Source organism: Homo sapiens, chromosome 2, assembly GCF_000001405.40.
Source record: "Homo sapiens chromosome 2, GRCh38.p14 Primary Assembly".
NCBI lineage: Eukaryota > Metazoa > Chordata > Mammalia > Primates > Hominidae > Homo > Homo sapiens.
The window spans coordinates 79,183,522-79,210,039 of NC_000002.12; the positions used below are offsets into that span (position 1 = coordinate 79,183,522).

The 26,518-nt window shown below is 38.2% G+C and overlaps 1 protein-coding gene across 1 annotated transcript in view; it reads left to right on the plus strand.

Moving 5' to 3' along the window:
- The first annotated feature begins 1,855 nt into the window (after nucleotides 1-1,855).
- Nucleotides 1,856-26,518, plus strand: part of CTNNA2 (catenin alpha 2) — a 1,463,404-nt gene continuing 1,438,741 nt past the window's right edge. The window contains exons 1-2 of the mRNA NM_001399737.1: nucleotides 1,856-1,910; nucleotides 14,438-14,555. The gene's annotated coding sequence lies outside the window, so the exon portion shown is untranslated. The remainder of the gene's footprint in view (nucleotides 1,911-14,437; nucleotides 14,556-26,518) is intronic.

The window sequence follows — 26,518 nt, forward strand, 5'->3', positions numbered from 1 at the left end:
AAAGGGTCATTTTCAGGGCATTATTCTAACTTTTGTCTTATATTCAGACCTCTGCACTGGACTTACCATGGGAAGTCTTTTGTGCTTATCTTTGATTTGACCCAAATTTTATGTATCTGACAAAGTTTGTCATATGGACCTGTGGCAGGTTAATTAAAGATGAATTTTACTATACTCTTTTAGGGTTTTGTTCCTTCAGCTGGATTGCTTTGGGAGAGGGGAGTTGAAGATATGTATTTTTTTTTCTTGTCAAGAGAGTCTGTTGGAAAGGGCATTTAATTTATTTGAACAGAGGTGTCAGTATTGCTCTAAAAACCATAAAGCACAGAAGACAAAACCATACTGATATAAATAATTCACCTCCTTCTCCCCCCAATCACTGCCAATTATATTTTGTTGCCAGGAAAAAAAGGTCAAAGAAATATTACAAACTTCTCAAATTTGCATAGGCCTAACTCCTCTATTGTAGTTATTGCAATTCTTTCTTGAGGCTACAGTAGCAGTTAGTACTGGAAAGAATGAAATCTGAAGTCCAAAGAACCATTCTTCCAAGTTATAAATGAAGTTTTGAGATATTATTCCCTCAATCCCATGGTGTCACCATTATAAAAAGCAATTAATATGATGTACCACTGAATTAATGATATTTCCATAAAAGGGTGCATAGTGATTAAAAGACTCTTTCTGATTTTAGAAATGTGAGAGTATGACAAAAATGCATCTGCTAGAATGGCAGAAGTCTGCAAGTCTTCTGTTTTCATAGGCCCAAGCAACCTGAAATTTCTTAGAATGAAAAGTGCCAGCAGCCATAACAGGTTGCAACTTATCCAAGCTTAGTTTCTGTAGCCCTTCTTAAGGTGAGAAGTAGGGGAGCAGGTTTTCTGAGTCTTATCGCTTTCTTTCTGAATTGTGGCTTTGTAGGGGTTCCTTGTCATCCTTCATCTCTATTTTACCAGGTTACCAAGCTTTCTACAGAAGCTGGCTCTTTCTGGCTACTTCTATCACAGCTTTCCTGTCAACTGGGTTTTTCATCAAGTTCTTGAGTTTTGAATCTTCTTCATCTTATCTTGGATCAAATGTAGTATCTCCAACTCAATTCTACATCTTTCACCACCATTTTCTCTGTTCTGCCCTTAGAAAAGTGTTCGCTCATCCTGCTGAGATTCAAGGAGAGTCACCCCTGGCTAGTGAGTAATCACATTTAGACATGTTTTGTGTTGTCTCTCAGACCCTTGTTTGGCCACATGAGCAGCTCCACAGAGAAATGGTCGATACTATTGTAGATATTATCATATCCCACTACTCCCTTCTCTTTTGTTTAGCATGATATGCTACTGTGGTTTATATCAATTCTTGGCTGGCTGTCAGTGATGCCAGTTGTGCTAAAACCATATTTAGCAGACCTAAACACAGTGGTCCATGGGATAGCATTGAATTCAATGGCTGCCTTAGAGGTTAACACAATGAGATCTGTTTTCAAGGGGAGAGAGGGAAACCTGACACAAAGAAAACTTTTGAGAGAGTCCTGGGGGAACATCATATGCATCTGGTATGTCTGAAACATTTGGAGTCTCCTCCTCTGCAAGTGAATACACATAGCCTGTACTGTATGTGTCACTGCTACTTCATTATCACAAATTTTTTTCAGGATAAGAGAAATTGAGCCTAATAGCTGTCATATCATGTCTTTTAACACTCCACCCTCTTATGCTGAAGGAAGCTACAATCATCCAAGTGGGAAGTAATGTCTACCGATGTTCTGATTTAAGTGAATGAAGGTCTTCTTTCCACCTCGGGAAATCTTGAGGGTTATGTAACAGCAGCTTTGAAAGGCTTGTGAGATGTACTTTGTGCTAGTCCATCTCAAATCTTCACCGGCTGTACCAAGAACAGAAAAAAAAAGGAATTTGGTGAGTACTTTATAAAGCTAAATTTACTCAATTAATTTCACCTCTGATTATGTTTTTCATGTATCTTGGGACATTAGAATGTCCTGTATTTATAAATGATGATGAGGATAGAGAGTAAATATTTTGTTTTGCTTTGTCTTGTTTTTAATAAAATACAGAATTAGCAAACCTATTACAGCCTATCATATCTAGTCCATGAAATTCAATACCTAGATAAGTACTTCTACAATTCATGGGTGCTCCAAATACTAGAGAATGCTTATAATGACACAATGTCTGACACAGAAGAGTATTTAATAAATGTTAATTATGTCACTGTTGTTCCCACCAAGAAAACTGGTCATTTGGGGATGTTAGATTGTGTTCTTTTGAGTTTCTTTTTTCTGATTTGGGAACAGGGGAATGGAGGGTGAAATTGCCAATGACTGTTAGTGAAGGAAAAGGGAAGATGTGTGGTGTTTACAGAAGTATGTGTATAAATCAACAGGCTATTGTCAGATATATGTTTTTTAAGACAGCACACCAGCAGCTGCATGTGTTTGGTAAGTTAGGAAACTTAAAAGTGCCTGCCAGTTATGCAGCCACCTTTTGAGCAAAGCTGCTACAGAAGGATTATTATTTCAGATTACCATACTTTATACCACAATATTTTACTACTCTGGCAACAGCTGTTTAGACTAAGGCTAGGTGCCTGGGGTTTTCTTGGTGATGAGGTGACCTGGGTTGAGGTATCTGCTTAAAACTCACACTTTACACTTGATAGTGTCTAAACATGGCAAAGATATTTTCATCTTTGAAAATCTAAATACCAACATTTTGAGAAGTGGCAAAAGGAAGTAAAAAGTATAGACATGAATTTATCCATCTACTCATTTTATTCTATAAACAATCATTACTGGAGCCACATCAAAGGATAGAGGAGGTGACAAGGATAAGAAATAAGAGTGCCTGCTTCATAAGAGATGAGCACTCTACTTTTCATGGTATACCAGAATGTCTGCTGTATCCTGAACTAAAACACTTTCACTTTTATGTGATAGTTTCTGAGTTCTTTTTTATTAGAAGCAATCAATGCGCTCAACTAACTTAAGCAATAAATACATTATTTTACCATAAAGATAAGAGCTTGTCTCACATCACCAATATCAGGAAAATTGTTAGGTACAATGAAAGACCTGTATCCAGGGCCACAGCCATGAGGCTGATTCCTTTCTCCTATCTCTGCACCTCTCCCTGCTTCAATCCCTTTTCAGGGAGTTTCTTTTTAAGAGGAAACAGTACGCCAGTTTCTTCTACTTCTCCCGTTGTCATAGCCTAAAATACAGTGGCTCTCAGTCTTCACATTACAGTCTGACCATCAGAGAGACAAAACTTCACCACTGTGTGTTCCAAATTCCCAGGGAAGGGTTTTCATTGCGCATGAAAGCAACCATTCTCACTTTGTGGCTAGAAAAGGAAGCTACTTTATGGGAACAAAGTTCTAGGCTGAAAATTCAGTAAGTGTCCACCACAGTTTTCCTGCATTTCTACCTCTTTTATACAATGCAACCTTCTATTTTTTGAAACCTGAAAGACCTTGGAAGAATAAAACATCCCTACCTGTAAGGTCATTTCTCTGAAATAATTTATAGCTGATTATTGAAAATAATGGTGGAATGGGGGTGTTTATGAATGGTATTATATCAAGAGGACCAAGAAATATCCACATTTGTGTCTGATATATCCATAAATTCCCTAGTAGAAGGATCAAAGAAAAAAATCTTAACACTGTATTTTCATATGCTTTTTATTCTAAGACACTTCTTTTTCTTTTCTTTTCTTTTCTTTTCTTTTCTTTTCTTTTTTTTTTTTTTTTTGAGACAGAGTCTCACTCTGTCGCGCAGGCTGGAGTGCAGTGGCACAATCTCAGCTCACTGCAATTTCTGCCTCCCAGGTTCAAGCAATTCAGTGCAGTGGCGCAATCTCAGCTCAAGTGATTCTCCTGCCTGAGTCTCCCAAGTAGCTGGGACCACAAGGACGCTTATTTTTAAGTTTCTTAATTTTAAATGTGTAACTAATAATAAAGGAAATTTGACAGAAAAGCTATGACCCAATAATCATTGGTCACACATGGAGAAACTTTAGCATATGAGAAGTTTTCTATTCAATCCTTTTGAGTCATATGTATTGGTAGCACATTTTAACTTGTTATGCATCTTTAATTGTTACTTAAAATGTGTTCAAAGATTTACACCAGAATCATTGTAGCAAAAAATTCATGATTTCACAGAAGGCTGCCTGTTAATAATCAAAGGCAGTATGAACTGCTAAATATCTTGGATTAAAATAATGCTCAAGAGTTTCAAGTAGGAAAGACTTTTGTGACTGGTTAGTGGTTCATAAAATTCTGTCATTCAAACATAAGCCCATTTTCTGTCAATACCATTGTTTAAATATCAGGATATACATGAGTTATTAGGAAGAAACATACAAAATAAATTAAACCAAGTAATAAACACATATGAAAACTTAGTGTTCTTCAACTAGCCTCAGACTTAAAAGGACTTAGTTAATCAAGATCATAAGCCCAGTTAACAAAAAACAGCAAGAGGATATCATAATTTCTGAGTCCAAAAGAGATTTTAAAGATGCTTAAATAAAAAGCTGGTAACTAAAGAGAAAAATGTTATGTAATTTTATGGATATATGTATATTATTTTCTATTAAGATTTTTAATATGTTCATTAAAAAGAGTTTATTTTTTCCCAAAGTACAGCAGTCATATATCTTATGATGCATGACATTCTAGACTAGATAAAATAGAGTAGAAAAGCAAACTTTGTTCCTCACCCCAGTGATGAAGTTTTTGTTGCTGGGCTGGACCATATAGAAAATCTTTTTCCTAAATTGGTCGTGCTGAGATTCTTGCTCTGCTTCGACCTCCAATCATTAAACCTTGCTTTGATTCTCATCATTTTCTGGCTTCATGGTAGGAAGAGGCAGAAGTGTCACCTGGGGCACTTCATTTTTGCAAGTATTGCTCCACTAGCACAGTTAGCACAGTGACCCCACCTATTGCTGGAACCTAATCAGTTAGAAAAATAGCATCCCTTGGGGATTGCATGGGAGAGGCAACAAAGGTTGTGAGGCAAATGTGAGGTACAGACAATAGACAACAGAGAATACCGTATTCTCAGAGAGAAGAAAAATCACTGAAGGGAGGGCAATAGAACTTGAGTTGGATCTTAGAGGACAGGTTGAATTCACATAGGTGGAAAGGAAGATGGAGGATATTTTAAAGTCAGGGAGTAAGTAGTGGAGGAAAAAGCACAAATATGAGGATAGAGGAAGCTCCTTTGAAGGGGTTAGACTGGAGAGTTAGTGTTGTGAAAGACGTTTATGCTTGCTCAAAGAGAGAACTTTATTAATTTAAGCTCTGTCAGTCAAAATTACCCTCCACTCCATTGAAAGCAATACACAATGTTATTTATTTGATTAAAGTAGTTCAAAAATCACTAGTGCAGAGATGAACTATAAGCTCTATGTGAACAGGCACTATCTGTATTATTAAATATGGTCAAACCACACCCGGTCAATACAGTGTCTGACACATTGCGTATGTTTAACAAATACTTGTTGAATCAATTTCTGTGAGTATCTAGGTGTTCTGAGAAACTCAAGCATCAAGATGCTGGTTAGACCCACGTTGGCACACAGGACTCTACTCAATAAAGGAATAAAGTTAAAAATTAATTCACTTCCGTTTATAACACAGTGCACACAAAAAGAATAACTCAGTATTTAATAACAAATGTGTAAAATAAAAATCTCCTCTTTCATTTCTGATATTGATAATTTGTCCTTTCTTTTTATTCTGAATCATTCGTTCTAGATGTGTACCTATTTTACAGATTTTTTTCAAAGTGCCAATTTTTGGCTTTATTATTTTCTCGAATATGCTTTTATTTTCTACTTCATTGATGTCTGGTCTTACCATATTATTTCCATCCTTCTACTCTCCAAGAGTTGTTATTTTCTTCTCTGTTCTTTTAAAATGGAAACAAAGAAAAGATTGTACTTGACAAGATAAGGAAACAGAAGTTGATTCTGATCATATCACCATGGTATAATTCCGATAATATTGCTGCAAGAGGGGAGAGAGCACAGCTGAAGCAAAAGGCAGGAGAGTTTTCAGGAGCTGGGCAAGTGAAACTACAGACCATCTGTGTTTGGTAATTGGCTTTACACAAAGGAAAAGTAAACTTTCTCTAATCTTCTGACAGTAGGAAAGGCACCCTCTGGAGTTAAGCTCCTTTTCTCCCACGGATATTGGGATATAGGGGCCATTTCTTCTTGATGATTACCTTTCAAAAGGATAGCTCCCAGTACTTGAGGAAGGGTCCTGGGCTGTGAAACTGACAAGAGACTTTTTAACAGATTTAGATCGCAAAGGTGCAAAGAAATATTTTACAATAAAGAATTTTCTGAAGCAATTATTCTAAGAGGATGGAGGACAAGACTTAGAGTCAAGAAGAAGCCTGTGTAAAGTTGAGTCAAGCTGAGGGGAAAATTAAGGCACAATTTATTTTCTTCTTTTCTACCAAATGTTTTTAAACTATATTTCTCTAACACTGCTTTAGCTGCAAACCATAAGTTTTAATGAAATTTATTTAGTTCAAAATGTTCCTAATTTCCATTGTGATTCCTCCTCTGACCCATGGATTGTTTAAAACCAATAATCATACTAATAATTTTTGATTGGGATGTTCCAAATATGTCAATTAAGCCAAATTGTTCAAATCCTTTACATTCTACCAACTATCTTCTGCTTGCTCTATCTGTACTAATCACCCTTTTAATTTAGGAGTTGGCAAATGCTTAGAGGGGAGATTATAGGCAGATTTTGAAGCTTAGTTCCCTGTAGTTTCCTTCTCTCTGCGATTTTGTTTCTCAAATTTTTGGCTGCTTGGGAAATGTGAATTTCAACGTCTGTTTAAGTCTAAGCCCCATGTAATAACCACTTTCTACTTGGATTTCATTCCTCTCTTCTATTAGTTACATTCATGATCACCATACTTGGACACAATAGGTGGCCAACAAATGTTTTCTTTCCTTTTCAATAATTGTCATTAGCTTGACCTTTCTGAGGCTGGAAAGTAGACTCCTGCCGTTTAGAAAGATTTTTCTAAGTCTACTTTTTGGCTTAGTAGCCACACCTGGAGAGGAAGCAAACATTCACAGGCCACCAACCATGTACCAAAGTGGGAAAATGATGGCTTGACGGGGCACCAGTGAGAGGACACAGAGAGCTACCGATGAATACCTATACTAGAAAATAGTAAGTTCCCTGAATTATCTGTTATGTACCCGAGTTGTGTTCAGTAGGACTTTTTGTCGCAAGTAAGAGAAATACATTTTAATAAGCCAGGGGGAGCTTAACAGAGGATTATTCATCCAGAAACTGGAAAATCATCTTGGCCCAATGTGGTCCCTGTCTCTTCCTGCCATCTTCTCACTCTACCCATAGTCATCTATCTCTCCCTCTTTGTTAGTTCAGCTTTCTCGCTCTCCGCAGACTGGCTTTTCTACCTTTTCATACATAAGAGCAAATACAGTCATGTTCAAAAGCCTGCCAACATGACTGCCTGGAAAATTCTAGTCCAATTACACACTGTCAGAGTCTAGAAATATAAGCTTGACTGCTGGAGCCCAGGGTCCAGGGTGGGTGTGGAAGAAAAGTGTGGGACTGGGCGGGAAATGAGCTGCAAGTGCTGTTGCAGATTCACAGTTGGTTTAAGCACTTTAAATAATCAGAACAAAGTTAGTCTCCAATTCCCCTCAGGGAAGCATTCCAATGATGTCAGCTAAGTTCCATTTTGAACAAATGATTTACAGACCATGTGTCTCCATACACTGTAATGGCATATCATCTGTCTTCATCTGACACTTCCTTAAAGGGCAACAGGGATGAGACAATTAACTGTTGTGTTGACCTTGTAGAGCTCTAGTCCTCAGCCTCAACTTTGTTATTAATCTTATGTCATACAGAACCCAGCCCTGTTAAGATACCCACCCTAACCTTGGTCACAGACTAAACTTGTAATGCCTACCATGAGCAAGGGCCCTAAACCTAACCATATACTGAGAGATGGAAATTGTCAACTTATCACAAAATCTATAAATTTGGAAAAGAGAACTTTACTTCTTATGAAGGGCTACAACTTGCAGGCTGGGAAGCACAGCCTCTGGTAGAGACCGAAAGTAGAAACTTTGAGGGAGGGAGCGTGTCACTGAGTTTTATACTTGGCTGATAAGTTAGATATACATATTTATCAGGTTACAGGAGGGGCTAGGAATGTTCATGAGGGGAAGTCACAAGCATGTGTGGTAAGCAAACATGTTATGTCACATAGTACCAAGTTCATTTTGGGGTACAGACTTAACATCAAAATGTGATAAAATTAGGCTGTATATGTGAAAATGTGAAATGGAGGACGCAGAGATGCCTCACACAACCTCCATGAATCCCTCAGAACCATTCCATGGTTGCTGGTCACTTACCAGGAAGGAATGTTGATCAGCTGTTGTGTCAAAACCACAAAAGGGGAGGGGATCCGGTCAAGGTGCGAAGCTATTGGTTGAAGTCGGTGGAAGAGTGAGTTATTCCTTCTTTTTTTTTTCCAGGGCTGGTTTCTGTTTAACTCTTAGAACAAAAAGTCTAATGGCAATTTGGGAGGGAGGGGGTGTAACGAGGCGTGACTGATTCCCACACCCATCATGGCTAGAAAACGTTGTTGCTAAGGTTTCTCTGGGGTCTCCTTGGCCAAAAGGGGTTTGTTCACTTGGTCAGGGGAATTAAGATTTCATTTTCATTTCACAAAATGCTTTGTGCTGCATATTGTACTCTTACAGCTTAGGCTCAGCTTCAGTGTTCAACACAAAGTAGCCCTGGAACATGACCTTAACCCTGCATGTTCCTCACTTACATAAATGAGACTCTCATTTGAAAGCAGTTAAACTACATCAGGCCATGATGGTCTGGGTAGACATCAACTAACATGGAAAAGTCAAATATTTTTTCGCTCACAGTTAAAATTCTGAAACGCATAACCAAGTGTTGCCTATAGTTCCAGATGGCATTATTCTGAGTTTAAGCTGAATATTTTTGAGATAGCAAAATATAAGACATGCGAATTATCTAATTTAAAATGTAAAGGCTGATATACATAATCAAATGATGGACGAAATTTTTCTCTATCTGAAATAAATAATATTTTTAAATTAGTTGATGAATGACAGATGCTGTGCTTTTCTTTGTTCTGTGGGCCCCAAAGGCTTATTTCCCATCCTCCTCGCCCCTTGAATAAAGTAGGTGACAAGAATTGTAGATTTTCTATTAAATTGTAATTGCTTTCAATTTTCAAAAGAGTATTTAAAATATTATATATATAAAAAGTGAAGAATGATAATTTGAAAAGAGTCATGATACAATTAAAGAAATAGAACTCTAACAGTACACTTGAATTCTGTTTACTCCTACCCAATCACATTCATTTCCTCCTCCCTTCAAGTTACTATCCTCTTGAATTTAGCATTTATCATTGCCATGCATTTCTTTATACTTCTACTATGTTACATGTATCCCTAGCAACATTTAGTACTGCTTTGTATAAGTTTACACTATATGTAAATATTATATATTCTTCTGTAACTTGGTATTTTCCTTTTAGCATAATTTTGTGAGATTTATCCACATGTATGATATTTTAATTTTTTACTATAATGTATTCATTCTACTTGGGTGGAAATTTCAGTGTTTTTTCCAGTTTCTTGCTAGGTCATGCTCTTTATACAGTCACATGCCTCATAATGTTTTGGTCAACAACAGACCACCTATGTGACTGTGGTCCCATGAGATTATAATACTGTATTTTTACTGTACCTTTTCTATGTTTAGCTATATTCTGATACACAAATATTTATCATTGTGTAACAGTTACCTACGGTGTTCCGTACAATAACATACTATACAGGTACGTACCCTAGGAACAGTAGGCTATATCATGTACCCAAAGTATGTAGTAGCCTGTACCACCTAGGTTTGTATAACTACATTCTAGGATGTTCAAATAGTAATGAAATTACCTAACCACATTTTTCTTAGAATGTATCCCCAATATTAAGTCATGTATGACTGAAATTGCTCTTTGCCTTCCATTTTTGACCTCCAATTTCAAATAGGGCATCTCTAGTAGGCTTTGAGGGAAGCAATTATACAAATGTAGCTTCAAGAAACAAAGATATTTCATTCTAGAAGCAATGTGACTGTATATTAAGCATAAGATATGGTCTATAGGTAAACATCTTTGTCTCCATTAAAAGACAATTTATTTATTGATGGAAATTATATTCTATACCTCAGTTTCCTCATTTGCCACAAGGGATAATAATGGTACCTACTTCACAGGGTAGTTTTGAGGATTAAGTGGGTTAATACATGTAAATTGTTACGACATTGCTTTGCACATAGTGCATGCTGTTGCCATTTTTATCATTATGATAACTTCATGGGAAATATTTTGCTATTTTTATATGTACTATAGTAACTTTATGAGTATTGTTTTATATATCAGGTAGCCTGTTCTTCCTGCTGGATTTGGATGTTATGTATTCGGAGGCATGAACGTAAATTGTTTGTGAAAATTTCCATCCTTCATAAGCTTAATTTCAAAAGATAGCCTGTCATCTCTAGTGTTTATTCAGCTGATATTTCTAAGCACAGCTGTAAGAATACTGAGAGGGTTTTTGAGCTGCTGTGAATAAAACTGTTGGTGGAGGGCAAGCTAGAGTTGTTAAAAGAGGTGACATGTGAGTATACAGCAGGGTCTTTCAAGGGATTGCAAGAAGGTGCATCTACCAAGGCCTTCAACTCTTAAGGAGTCAGTTGACTGGAAGAGACTTGGGAATGTCCACTTATATCATTCCATTTCAGACTACCTTAGATTAATATGGGTTTTGCTGGTTCCTGAGGACCCAGATCCAAAGGGCCTAACCCAGGCTATTGGTCTTTCTCTGGCAAGACACACCCAATTCCCTAAATGCAGTGGAGGTCAGCAAATAGGTTTCAGGACACTTTATTAAAAATGTTTAGTTCCCAGAGCAAACTTGTAGCCACAGTAATATGATGCTAGTGGCTTCTCTGTAGTTCATTGCTAACCACCAGGGCAGATGCCCAAACTGCCAGGTCAGTCAGTCTCAAGATGTGGCAAAGGTAAAACTCCTTGCCCTGTGTATATGTGAGCTCCATCTCCTTCAGCTGTCACTGGATCCCTGGGCTGCCTCTACTTTCCACCTTCAGAGAAATTTGAGTGGTTCACAAAAATGTCTAATTTACTTATAAAAGCACAATCATTTCAGAGACACCAGAGGATTATGTTTGGCAGTGGAATCTGAAATGTTGCTTTTTTCTTTCACTGTTTCTCAGAGAAAATTGTTCTTTTTCTGCAACTTAATAACCTCAAGCAATACTTCGTGAAAGCTCTCTTTGTTCTTTTGGATTTTCCAAGCCCTGCCTGGGGAATAAGGCTCACATCGCCATTTGGAATTGCCACCACTGAGAAGGAACTGTGAATTGGCATGCATTAGTATTCAGGTGCTTTCTTTGAAACATTCACAGTGTTCTTCCGAGGAATTTTTAATGCCACAGTGATCCCATCTCTGCGTGACTATTGCTTTCTTACCAATATGCCTCTAGACCTTCTGTTCTTTCTATTTCAGGAGATAGCCAGTTGCTAAGCCTCTTTCACATCATGGCAGCAATGAATCCTTAGTTAATTGCTCCCTCTACTACCTCAGAAATAGCACCAAATGCAGAAATGGGACCCTTTTCAGAATATTTCATCAGGAACTCAAACCTCATAAAAGAGACTTCCCTTCTTCCTTCTGGGTAGCAGCAACATATCATTCCTGTGGGGTGTCCTTTCTCACTGCACTGAATCATTAAATCTGATTTTGTCCAACCTAAAGCTTGTCTCTGGTAGTCTTTAGCTGATTAGGCTTTAACAGCAAGATCGCTTTTACAACCACACCCTCCCACCAGATCATCCTGACCAGTCTCAGTTTAGTCCTACTAACCAAAAGAAATGTATTTGCTGCCTGCTTCAGACCAGGAAACCAACCCTGTTGTACTCACAGAATCAGAAGAATGAAAATCAGACATTATAATGCCAGCAGGCCTCTGCAGTGCTTTCACAGCCCAGGGACCTTAATACATTTATCCCTTCCATCCACTACTTCTGACACACATACCTGAGTGAGACACAGAGGGATGTGTCATATCATCTGAAAAAGGAGCAAGTTTTATCATCTCAGAATCCTCCTCACACAAAGCAAGGCCCGGCATAGGGAGCTGAATCAATACATATCACTCAATGAAAGTTCTAGACCTTCAAATATAAAAGGTAAATAAGAAATTAGGGGGCAGAGGTGCAGAGGTAGGGTGGAAAGTAGGGGGATGAACTCAGTTTTTTGTTTGTTTGTTTTATGAGATGGAGTCTCGATCTGTCACCCAGGCTGGAGTGCAGTGATGCGATCTCGGCTCAATGCAATCTCCGCCTCCCAGGTACAAGCGATTCTCCTGCCTCAGCCTCCTGAGTAGCTGGGATTACAGGCACGAGCCCCCATGCCCAGCTGTTTGTCTTTTTAGTAGAGACGGGGTTTCACCATGTTGGCCAGGCAGGTCACGAACTCCTGACCTCGTGATCCACCCGCCTCGGCCTCCCAAAGTGCTGGGATTATAGGCATAAGCCACCGCACCCAGCCTGAAGTCAGTTTTAAGTATCTAGAGTTTGAAATGCATTTCTCTTAGGCCTTTTTAACTGATATGTTAGAATTAGTGGTGCTCAAATATTCTCCTGCCAAGTAGTGATTTTTTACTTCCTCACTCACCCCAACCTGCCATTGAAAAAAATCAATTTTGCTCATTTGCAAGTCATATTGAGATCTCTTTTACCCATATAAATCAGTGTTGTTTTAACTTCTCCTTCAAACCAGTTACAACTTCTGCCTAGTTCCCTCCTATCATGTGAATCAAATAAAATATTTATTATGTGTTCAATCAGTATGAGAGTCTGATTTTACCTTTTTCTTAAAATTATCTTTGAACAGTATCTATTTTGTACAATTGCCCAGGGGTACCTTATACTTAATAATTATTCTGGTTCCGTCCATGAATAAAGCATTGAATAACATTAAGACCTTTGTAGAGGTTTCTCTAAAATATTTCAAAATGTTCTGCTTTATACACCAACTTACTTCACTTCTCTGCAAAGCAAATTTGTTGCACTGTGGGGAAGTTGAAATTGTGCTATCTCAGGGAAGACTTGCAAAGTTTTCTTGTTGAGGTTGCTTAGGGTCAAAAATGTGTGTGATCAGCTGTTTTGTTTTGCAGGATTATTGTTTAGGGATGCATGCTTCTTTATCTCTTCTCAGCATCTCTCATGGTTCTGATTTATATTTGTAGAGCAAGAGAATGAAATGGTACCATCAGCATCCCTCTTTTTCAGATTCTTTCTCATATCCTTGCAAGACTTGCCTCCTTTTCTCTGGATCTGTTTTTCTCATTCCCCTGTGATACCAGCCCTTAGGAAAAACTTTTGTGATCATTTCTTCAAAGCTTGAAACATGCAAAGTGCTGAAAATTACAATATTATCTCTTTTTCCTGTGCTCTCAAATCCAGAGATATGCACTATGTGGAAATAAATAAAGAGCACCCGAATTAGAACAAACAGAGACTATTTATTCAGAGCTTGCTATAGCAAGAAAGTCAGCCACCATCACTTGAATTTGGCAGAGACTCAAAGGCATGAAGGAAAAGCTTTAGAGTGAACAAAAGTGGTAAGGGGAAGCTGGAGGGAGCTAACAAAAGGTGTAGCATCTTATGTGATTAGTTTGAAGAGTATTTGGCTTTCCCTGGTTGGACCTCAATTGGAAACTGGGGCAAAATATAGAAGCTGCCAGTCATTGACCAAGTCCTAACTTCTCTGGGCCAATTGCTACAGAGGTTGTCATTTGGTTTTCAGTGCTTGTTGCTGCTGAGGTTGTGGGTCAGAGTTCTACCATAATGTATGGTGTGTCCATTGTCCATTTGTATATTCAATCTGCCTAGCATATTTTTATAATGTTAAATGATAACTATAACTCTAAAGAGATGCAAAGGAACAGGCTATTTGAAATCCTTGAGAAATTTGAGTTTCATCCCGTTTTATGTTACTATTAATTTTTCTTGATCATCCATGCATCCATGATTACCTAGCCTCTGTGCCGTGGGTTTTACTTATGTGATCCTTGTCAGGTACTTTTTTTGTTGTGGTTGTTGTTGTTGAGACGGAGTCTCGCTTTGTCGCCAGGTTGGAGTGTAGTGGTGCAACCTCAGCTCACTGCAACCTCCGCCTCCTGGGTTCAGGAGATTCTCCTGCCTCAGCCTCCAAAGTAGCTGAGACTACAGGCGCATGCCACCACGCCCAGCTAATTTTTGTATTTTTTGTAGAGACGGGATCTCAGCATGTTTGCCAGGATGGTCTCAGTCTCTTGACCTCGTGATCCGCCTACCTTGGCCTCCCAAAGTGTTGGAATTACAGGTGTGAGCCACTGCGCCCAGCCATCAGGTACATTTTTATCTTCTTTTCATACACATGGAGACTGGGATTCAGATATGTTAACAAACCTGATGTAAACTACACAGCTAAGAAAATGAGGGTACAAAAATGTTCATACAAATCTTAGATCCATTTTCTAGAAAACGATGTAGAAGGATATACACCAAATTTTTAACCATGATAACCTAAATCTTACTAACTTGAGAAAGGTAAAAATACATTTTCCTTTGTGCATTTTTTAATATTTGGTGAAAATAAGCATGGATTGGTTTTATAATAAAAAGAAAATTAATCTAAATAAACAACAAAACAACATGAAGTTGTATTTTCTCTAGACACTATATTAACTTCCCTCTGGGAATCTAATTCAAAAGCTATTTCATAAATGAAAATCACAAAGAAAATTTATCCCAGATAATAAACCAGCATTAGTTATTTGAAGAGTGACTCTCTCTGAGGAAGTTTACACAGTAGAATATTAATTGCAGGTAACAAACCAAAAGGAGCAAAAGAATTGTATATTCTTAAGAGATATTCCCATCAAGTATAGGATTTTAATAAATAATAATTCTACCATATAGCTCTTTTGCTTTTTGGTTAACTGATGCTACTCATTGATCAATTTATCAAATATTACTTGAGCTACTAATGTCTTAGGCATAGTGTTGGTACCTGAGAATAAAAATAAACAAGCAAGTAAACAAACCAACTATTCATTTTATAAATTTATAGTTTTCCGGCTGTTAAAATACAATTTTAAGAAAAAAGCAAAATCATGGCTTACAGAGATATAAAAAGATTAATGTGTTTAAGATTTTTATTTAACTTATTCATGAGGAAACTGGTAAGATGTTACAATCAGTGCAAAGGTGAGTGTAAAGAACAGACACATTTTTGTTTCATTAACATTGCAATGAGTATACAAATGGAAGCAAACTGACTTTCTCAGAAATAAAATCTGCCAATATACAGAATTCACATGCCTGTCTATAGATGAGAATTATTCTGCATCATTATCAGTTATCTACAATTTACAAAGTTGTAAAATAGCTCCCATAGAATCAGAATCAGATAACCAGGAACGGAATGCAAAGTTTTCCACTGAAGCAAAAATTTTTCCCTACGGGGCAAAGAGAGGCTATAACATGTGTGGCAGACATTGTTAACTGTGTGCTCTGTGTTCTTTCCTGCACCACCCCTCTCTACTAATAGAATCTTTGCTTGTTTAGGTAAATGCAAAGTTCCCTATTCTTGTCCCCACAAATAAAACAATGATAACCCAACATTGATATAGTCAGTAATTGGTTCAGGATAAGCTTCAATTTTGCCCAAAAAAGAAAAGTGTTTTGTTGTTGTTGTTGTTATTGTGGTTGTTTTTAATGTAAGACTTCTAGGAAAGCATTTGTTTTCCTTATTAAAAAAACAGTAATTAACAACTGATATAGCCCTTTTTTGGTTCTTTTCTCCCTTTTTTATCTCGAATATAGTGTAGTTACTAGAATTCAGCAGTCATTTTGTGGCGTTGGACTGACCAGCACAAAAACTATATGAATAATAGTTGCACTAGTCAGTTTGTGCTTCTCTAACAAAATACCATAGACTAGGTGACTTAAACAACAGAGATTTACTTCTCACAGTTCTGGAGTCTGGGTAGTCCAAGAACAAGGTGCCAGCTGATTCAGTTTTTGGTGAGGGTCCTGTTCCTGGCTTATAGAACTTAGACTCCTAAATTCAAGTGATCCTCCCATCTCAGCCTCCTGAGTAGCTGGGACTACAGATGGTTGCACAATTTTTAGTTGTTCTTAAAAGAAAGATTGTGTGATGTACCATAACGGAAATCTAATTCCCTTTTCCCTGTAACCTAAATTTCATCTACCTTGATATCAACACATCTTCAATGCTTCTGCCACCACTTTCTTTAATTTTATGCAAGAATAGTTCAATTGAGACGTAGAGAATGAGACAGAGAGAGAGAGAGAGAGAGACCACTCTCTAGTCTTTTCTCATGGCAGTACTAATCCCATCATGAAGGTATCAGATTAAGAAAGTATCCTGCCTGTAATCCCAGCATTTTGGGAGGCCAAGGAGAGTGGATCATTTGAGGTCAGGAGTTTGAGACCAGCCTGGCCAATATGGTGAAACCCCACCTCTACTAAAAATACAAAAGTCAGCAGGGCTTGGTGGCGGGCACCTGTAGCGTCAGCTACTCTGGAGGCTGAGGCAGGAGAATCGCTTGAACCTGGAAGGAAGAGGTTGCAGTGAGCCGAGATTGCGCCACTGCACTGCAGCCTGGGCAACAGAGAGAGACTCCGTCTCAAAAAAAAAAAAAAAATTAGACAAAAAATCAGATAACACAATACAAAAGCAAGCAACTTAAGATCTGAAACAAACTTGTCTATTTACACTTTTGGGGTTCCATAAGGAAAAACAGAGATTTCTCCGCAAAACGGAGTCTGGCACCTTCTCCATTTTCTGTAAGGAATTGCAGGCTATTATAAATTATTTTAGGTTCCTTATACAGCAGAGGGTGACAAGAGAAAGGAGAAACAGCAGAAGTAAATGAAGGAAACAGAATTCATTCAATTGAGGAAAAAGCAAACAAACAAACAAAAACTCTTGTTCAAAAAGGCAAGGTCCCAGGAGAAAACAAAAACAAACCATGAAGGCCTTTTAATACAAACACACAGGCACACATACACACACATCTTGGATGTTACATTTGCATTAAGCTAATCCATTGAGCTCCTTGAAAAAAAAAACTTTTTAAATCTCATTACCATATTTTAGCAAAGACAAATTGCCAATATTTCGGAAGTAATAAGTATCAAATCTGAAAGGGTTTGATTTAGAAACCAAACCCAGGCTATTGTGGTAAAGAAGAAAAAAAACAGATGTCAGAACCTTAGCTATGAAACTACAATGTGGGGCAACAGCTATTGCTCTTTCAGTTTGACTTGGCTAGCAAAAAGATGGCCTTGTTATGTAAATAAAACCCCTTAAGTAATCAAAATAAAACATTTCCCCCCCCCTTTTTTTGTGGAAATTTAGCCACATCAGAGGCTTTGTTCCCCTTGAATTGGAACTTTCCTTCAGATTTCGTCAAGTCAGATAGAGCTGGTCAAATGCAATGGGAAAAAGACTGAAACAATAAAAACAGAAACAAACAAACAACAACAAAAACAGTTAAGCAAAACAAATGATCACACAATTTATATAATTACTGAGCACTCTAATGGTAAGGAGAAATTAAGACCAGCTGGTTGTTCATCTTAACTTTAGCCAAGACAAAACCCCAATTCAGCTACTTACCTGAGGATGGGTCTCAGGCTGAAGACTGCTCTCTACCATCCTAGAAGCAGGAAAAAACTCAAATTCACCTTCCTTCCCTGTTGGAAATGAGCTCGAATTCCAGAAAGAAGTTACCTGCCTTCCATTGTCGTGGAAGCAGGAAAGCTTGCCTTCCTTGTTGGAAGGAAGTAAAGCTTCTTCCAACAAGAGTTGGAAATAAAAATTATTTTTCCTAGCAAAATAATCTTTAAATATTGACCAGATTTTGGGAGATCAGGGATTCTCTGGAGGGGGAGCTTCCAGGCCTCAGCAAATTGTCCTACTGGTTTGAGCCATAAAGAAACTCAAGCTGGTACCAAGCCCTAATAGGAGATTTCTCAAAGGTCAGCAGCTCTTCCACTCAGAATCCCTTCGTGGTTAGCAAAATGTGAACCCCAAATATATGAGATGGGTCTCAGTCAATTTATAGTGTTTATTTTGCCAATGTTAAGGATATGCCCATGACATAGCCTCAGGAAATCCTGAGACATGTACCCAAGGTGATCAGTGGTACAGTTTGCTTTTATACGTTTTAGGGAGACATGAGACATCATTCCATATGTGTGAGATGTACACTAGTTCAGTCCGGTAATATGGGACAACTTGAAGTGGGAGCTTCCAGATTAGAAGTAGATAAGAGACAAATGATTGTAATCTTTTGAGTCCTTGATCAGCCTCCATTGAATACACAATTTACTCCAGCTCAGTGAATCTGCATTTTTACATAAATGATTAGCAGAGGAAGCAATGACACATGCATTTGTCTCAGGTAAGCCTCAGAGGGATGACTGAATAGAATGGGAAGCAGGTTTACCTTAAACAGTTCCCAGCTTGATTTTCTTCTTTAGCTTGGTGATTTTGGAGTCTCAAGATTTATTTTCCTTTCACAGTACTCTCAGTCAGATTTCAAAAAAGATAATTTCCACACACTTGTTTTTTTATTTTTTTTATTTTTTTTATTTTTTTGAGACAGGGTCTCACTCTGTCACCCAGGCTGAACTGAAGTGGTGCAATCACAGCTCACTGCAGCCTTGGATTCTTGAGTTCAAGTGATCCTTCCACCTCAGCCTCCCAAACATCTGGAACTACAGGCAGTTGCAGATTTTAGTTGTTCTTAGAAGAAAGATTGCGTGAATGCACCATATCAGAAACCTAACTCCGTTTCCCCTGTAACCTAAATTTCAGCTCCCTTGGTATCAACACATCTTCAATGCTTCTGTCACCATTTTCTTTAATCCTATGAGAGAATAGCTCAATATTACATCCCTTGTACTAGGTGAAGTTCCCTCAATGTTTCCATACATTTTGGGGGTGGAAGGGCTTATGGTTCTACGTTTCTTTGTTTGTTTGTTTGTTTGTTTTGTCTTTACTACAGTCTGCATCTCTCTCCCACAAGCCCAGCCATTGTTCTCACATGGCTCTAGCCATGAAAGATAGCATCTCCATATTTCATCCCCAAAAGGGTCACAAATTCAAAGCTGTGGGTGCAGTTGCTTTTAACAAAGCTTTGAGGTGAAAGAAGAGGGTCCTGAAGCATAGTAAACAGAGATCAATGTAGTTTACCAGTAGATCCGAATGGATTTAAAGTTCTTTAACTCCTTTCTTCCATGTAGAATTTCTCAGTTGACAGCTTATCTTTCTTCCCTGCCATTTTCCTCACTACTACTCTCTTCTCTCGCCTTCCCTGCCACCTCCATCATCTCTCATTTCTTCCCCATCCCCACAGGTAGCCAAGTTGTTGGGACTCTCCTATTGCTTCCCACAGCTCTGGGGTTGCATGTTTTCTCCTCTTTGAAAGTTGGCAGTCCCCAAATCTCCAAAATCCTGTTCATTTCTAATGAAGAACTGTTTAAATCTCACTCCAGTTATTATTTTAAACTAAGCGCAGATCCAAATTCATTAGAAAATAATATTCAGAAAATGGCAAAATCATGACTCATATAAATGAAACATATGTTAAAGATTTTATTTAACTCATATAAAGGAACTAGTTCAAAGTAAATGTCAAAAAGCACAAACATATAGAGTCAAGAAATCGAATTACAAATGGAGGGAAAAAGACTTTTTCCACAGTGGGGAGGGAAGCCAATGGAAATGCTGCTGGATAAGACACAGTTTGCATATCCATCAGTTACCTGCATTTGAAAAACAGGTGCAAAATAGCTCAAAGACAATGAACAGGCTCTGGAACCCACTGCCCAGAAGCATGTATGATAGACAATGCATAGTTTTTAAATCAAATGCAAAAATGTTTTTTGCACATAACATATCCAAAAATTCTTCAGGGACAAGAACGAAAGGTTATCAAGTCTTCAGGGCCGCCTTTTCTTTGTCAAAGCATTAACCACTGCTCTTAAATTATACTTTTGCCTTCATTAACTAGGAGGCAGTATCTGAGCATCAAAGGATAGCAGTTGATGCTTTTAGACTACTTTTTTCCAATGAAGGCCCAAAGGTGTCATTTGTTCTTCCCTGTCTCATCTGAATTGTATAAAATATGCCAGCTGTTGCTTCCCATGGTCACCTGAGGTAGAAGTGGCTGTCACCTCTGCTGACATCCTTAGCTATAGTGTCTTTCATCCTCTGTGACTCATCTCAACCCATTAAATGTAGGAACAGATGATATTAATAGCCAAGGGTTAAGACATTTAATTTCTTCCCTATTAAGGAAATGCTTCAGCATTTAAAGTAATAATAATGGGATTGCAGAATATCAGAGCCATAAGGTGCCTTTGAAATTATCTAGTTCAATATTGTACTTTCCAAATGAGGACACAGAGGTCCCAGAGGGGAAGTGGCCTGTCAACCAAAGTCACACTGAAGGCTGGTGGCACAACAGAAGCTGCAGCTCAGGAATGCCACGCTGACCTGCCATTTATTTTGCCTTTTGGCAGCTCTTTCTTCATCGGACACCTATTTCTTTTGTTATGCTCTGGCAAGTCTTTCCTGTCCCTCTTTGCAGATATTTATTTTTTTCTACTCCTAATGTTCCCAGTGCTTAATTTTTTATGGATTTGTGTGCCAATTTCTAGTTATATAAGGAACTGATCACGAATGAAGCTCTTTATACTACCAGCAATTATTCTATTTTGGATATAAGACTCTGTAAAATCTCATTAAAGAAATGAATTTCCCATGATGAAATGAGTCTTTGAGGAGATTTTAAAATATGTCCATAATTCTCTGACATTCCAGTTGTGTTAGTCCTCTTTGTGCTGTTACAACAGAATGCCTGAGACTAGGTAATTTATTTTTAAAAAATAGAAATTTATGTCTCATAGTTCTGGAGGCTGGGATGTCCAAGATCAAGGCATCAGCAGGTTCAGTTATTTGGTGAGGGCTGTATCCTACTTCCAAGATGGTGCCTTGATTGTTGCATCCTCCAGAGAAAAGAAATGCTACGTTCTCACATGGCAGAAGAGCAGAAGAGAGGAAACCCACCTCCACAGGCCGTTTTCATAATGGAATTAGTCAACCCTTGAGGGCAGAGCCCTCATTGCCTAAATACCTTGCATCAGGCACCGCCTGCCAACACTGTTGCACTGAGGATTAGGTGTCCAACACATCAATTTTGGAGTGGCAATAACATTCACACTAGAGCAATAGCCATCAGAAAGCAGAGTTTAGTTTTTCTCTCTTGAATATGGCATTGAACAACTCAGTTCTTCTGAATAATAGGATGCAATGGAAGCAGCACTGCTGAATTATAAGGTGTTGGGTCATAGAAGGTTATATGGCTTCTTTGTGGCTCTTTCTCAGGACACATACAGTGGCAGATTGGAGCTTCCATATAAAAAAATAAGCTACCCTGAAGACACCATGCTGGAGAGACCACATGGAGAGATTCTTTAGGTATCCCAGCTGTTGCAGCCTCCAGATATTTGAATCTTCCCAGGACATGAGAGAAAAAGCTTCCAAATGATTCACACCTGCAGTAAGAGCTGTCTAAGCATGGTCAACAGCCAGAACTGTGAAAGATAACAATCATAAACAGCTACTGTTCTTTTATGCTATGAAGTTTGCAGTGGTTTGTTACTCAGCAATAGATAGTTAGAACAGCCCCTTTGAGAGGCAATGAAATATTGGGCTCTGAAAACCTCAGAGTATAGACATAAAAAAGACTGTTAAGGAACAGAGGATTCTCTAGTTAACCAGTATGCTGTTGCTATTTCTTCAGCTTGACTGCATGTATAAGAGCTCATTACAGTAATTCACTTTTCAACAGGAAAGTCTGAACTGATGATAAAACCCAGGTGTTCACAAAGCATAGGTCCTCATTTCCCCTGAGCCCAACCTTCATTGATAGTGAAACCATTTCTCCATTGCCTCGTGAAGCTTCTAGTGGGAAAGGTCAATGAAACAGAGCATACTTGCCTATAAATATCTTTTTCCTGATATGATTCCATGCAACCTGAAAAGCCAATGATCTAATTTTTGACATAAAGATACATCAATCATTTGAAGATGAAAACTGGTTCAGGGAGAGGAAGTAATTTGTCTGAGATCTCTCAATATATTTCCTGCACAGGTTTTGAATGCTCGGCCCTTTCTTGCTTTTTTCCCATTAGACTTCAAAGCTGTAGGTTTCTGCCTTCCTAAGAAGCTGAAAAAACAGTCAAAAGTTTTAAATCCCCTTTTTAAAACAGTCATTAAATTGTAAAAATAGCAATAAAAGTGGCACGTCTGCTGTATATGTGATTTTTAGCATTTTTGTTCATTTATTTACCAAATGACTGTGTACTTTATAGGCATTACTAAAATAAAGCACTTAAGAATTGGATTCCTCACCCAGAAAGTGCCTAGATCTGTGTTAGGATACAAAGAGTGCCCAGTTCTGAGTTAGAATTCGGCAATTATGGAAAAAAAGTTTCTTTATAATAATGTTTGAATAAGAAAAAAAAAAAAAGAACCTGACTAGTACCTTTAAATATACAAAGAAGCAGAAGTCTCTGATTTGAAGCTACAGGGTCAATATATTTAAATGTATTAACTTTTCCATAGTCATGTGAAGATAAAAAGGGCCAGTCCTCAGCGACATTGGGGAGGTCAATCTTTGTCAATCCCAGTGTGCTTTTTATGCACCCTTTTGATCTTTTGGCTCTCTTCCCTCACACTTGGAGCTTCTAAACCTTCCTATTCTTCTCCTCTCCTTTCTCACCATTTTGACTTCTGAATATTCATTTATTCATCTTCTTTGTGTAGCAACTTTGATATGAGTGACCATGATACATCCCCAGCTTCAGGAGGAACTTAAATGAACTAAGCTAGCTGCAATAATTAAATTCTCCAGACACAGTGATAAGTTCAGTGTTTGTTGGAAGCAGCCATCCTTTCCCCATAACTGTGAGTGAGGAAGATATGGTACCAGTCTCTTTTAGCATTCATCTCATAAAACCAACTGGAGAATGATGCCAACACACTAAAAAGAGCAGAATCAATAAAATCATAGAGGATAAAGATAGATCCCTGATCAAACTACTCCTGAAGGCCACTCTAATCCCTGCATCTTTCAGCTACTTGATCAGTTACTGTGTAAGCTGAGTTGTGTTTTCTCTTCTTAGCAACCAAAAATACCCTGAGTGTAGGTGACAGTATCACATCTCTTCCCTTGGAAGGCCCAGTGGAGGTTCTGTTTCTGGCAATGTGGCAAAGTACATTGTTTAGACAAACTCTTTGATGGAAAACAACTAAAAGTGCCAGATATTCTATTAAAAATACCTCTCTAAAGTATCAAAAAAATGACAAAATGGTCAGAAATTATTATGACAAAATCTAAGTGAAAACTAGAATCTCAGCACTATAGCCACTTTTGTCCTGGGAGTATTTGCAAAACAGGCAAAACTGAGTATTAATTCTGGACATTTCTTTGAGTGTGACTATAGACTTCATGAAGGCAGAATATGCAATTCAAAGCCCCGGTTTCACCTAGGTAGTCCAGTAGGAGACCACCACCTCTTTAACCTAAAGCTACCCCTTAAGGTAAAGGAGAACCAGAAGTAACCCCCCATTCTGCTTCTACCTTCAAGTAATGACAAGAAAATTTGTCGTGACATTGAAAATAATATGAGAGTTTCTGAAAAGTTGCAGCCACAGTGGGCCCTCATTTAAATCTGTAGCCCAAATTACTATTACTTAGGTTATCACTCCAACACATAAAAATCACAGATTTCTAGAATCGAATGACACAAAAGGCAGTGAACTACGTACCAACATTTGTGAAGAAAGTTTCTGTCATGGGCCATGAAGAACAAGTGGTGGTTCGGGGCTTTTTAGCAAGAAGTGGCTCCCTGCAGAGCTGGTATGGCCAGTAAAGAAATGGATCCAATCTGAGACAGAAAATCTCTCTTAGTTTGTAAAACTTGCTGGCTTTTTCCCACTCTGATGGCTCCCTGATGATGGAGGAGTCCACCAGAAGAGGCTGAGGAAAACATTAGGACCATGGTGTCTCCAGCAGGACACCAAAGAACTGCCTTGTTTTGCAAGATTTTCCTTTGGAATTTGGAGTAGAGAGAAAAATTTGAGTGGCAATGAGGTGAAACTTTACCTGAGCCTTGTGGGCTCAGAAACAGTTGGATAATTTAAAAACACACTTACCCTTCTGTGTTCTGGGAAATGGTTAGCCACCAAGGTCTACTCTGCCCTCACATATTTCAAGATAAGACCAGTCTCCCTTCTCCCTCCTGATTCCCATAGACTTACAGATGATGCAGATGACTCCGTTGCCACCTGCCTCTGTAAATCTCCAGGCCACTTTCCTTTTCTTTAAAATGCCCATCATGAATGGGCATTTCTCCAATTGCAATAGCCTGGGTAAGATCATTTCCTTAATTATCCTGTGCATTTAGTATTTGCAAGGGGTAAATAGAATGGCTCTGCAATGGGTGCAAATGAGTAATATTTAGATTTTTGAAACATATGTCAAGATTCTCTAACAATGAGCTCATGGCTGGTAATGAAGTGCATCTCACCTAGATGGGAAAGGATATGTTTGCTAGAAGCTGACTGATCTAATCATTAGAACAATTGTTTTTCAGCTAAATCTATATTCCTGTTAGTATGGGGGATATCCGGTTTGAAACACTAGAGAGGAAAAAGAATATAAGAGATATGCTGGAAAGTATACGTACTTGGAATTGGGCTAGGATTTGAATACTAGGCTCTGTGGCTAACTGGCTGTGTGACTTGAGGTAAGTGTGGTGTAATTGCTCTTCTAAGTGGATAGTTCTTTTGTTCTTCAAGCTGAATCTTGGCTGTCAGTCAAGCTACACATCTTCTTTCAGGCTTTTTGTGTTAGCAGGTATTTTGGTTCCCATTCAGGGCCCTCTTCATTTATCCTTCTCAGTACAGCTGTGTGTAAGCTGGCATAATTTGCTATTGAAACCTAGGCTGTGACTATAAATTAATTAAAATTTAATTTATGATTGCAGAGAAGTGCAAATATGGATTCATCAGGAATGAATAACTTTATATTACTCTTGTTTCCTTCTTTGACAGAGACTAGCTGGGTAAATCAGAGATATGTGGTAGAAACACCCTCATCAAAATATTTGGTAATGATACTCATGTGGATGTGAAGGAGATGAAATGGCTGCATGATAATAAATGTAGGTAGTGAATAACCTTAAAGGATATTCATGTAGGTTGGGCATGGTGGCTCACGCTTGTAATCCCAGCACTTTGGAAGGCCGAGGCAGGAAGACGGCTTGAGTCCAGGAATTCAAGACCAGCCTGGGCAACATAGCTAAACCCCATCTCTACAAATGAAACACAGAATAAAAAATATATAAAAAATAAATTTTTTTAAAAGCATACCAATATAGAAAAAGCTCTGTTTCTATAGAAAAGTATACATTGTATCTATTTGGCCCATCCTTCTTGGTTACAAGATTCTAGCTTTTTATTTTCTTTAAGCTATTTTATGACTGGATAGACAGGCAAATTTTGTCCTGCTCAGTAGAGTTTTAATTGACTGCTCTCCCTCTGGTGGAAAAAACAGTTTTGTCTCCACATGCAATTTACTTTCTTTACTCGATACATATTTGTTCTTTTTCTCTTTCTCTTTAGAACTGGTTATAACATCTACCTGGTTCTCTCATTAAATGAGTAAAATACAATCTTTTCACACATGTTTATTCTTGTATCAGTGAGAGTCATGATTCTACACTTTTCTGAAAACTGTCTTTTAATGCTAATGAGAATGGAAACCAATGATTCACTGTTAAACAATACTGGGACCAGAAATACTTTCCTGTGTTTGTAGTTAACCAGACGCACCAGAAAATACATGCACATGGAAGATGAGACTGAGCCAATTAAAAGAGCTTATCTATCAGGTCTGAAATATTACTCCTTAAGGGTCCTTGAAGATTTTGCCCAACTACATCAGTTCCCTTTCATGCCGGACTTGACTTAAAATCACCCAGCTCAGGCCTAAAAATCCTGTAAACATCCTTCCCTATACTCTCCTGTTGGGACACTGATGACTCTATTAAAATGCCCTACCTAGCTGCAGTAAGTTTAAAGTCTCTCTTTTGCCTGATCAACAGTTTTCTTGGTAGTCTGTGTGTGTGTGTTGGGGGGGCGGGGGTGTGGCGGGGGTATTGGAAATTAATGACAGGAATTATGACCATCCACTGTTTCTACCA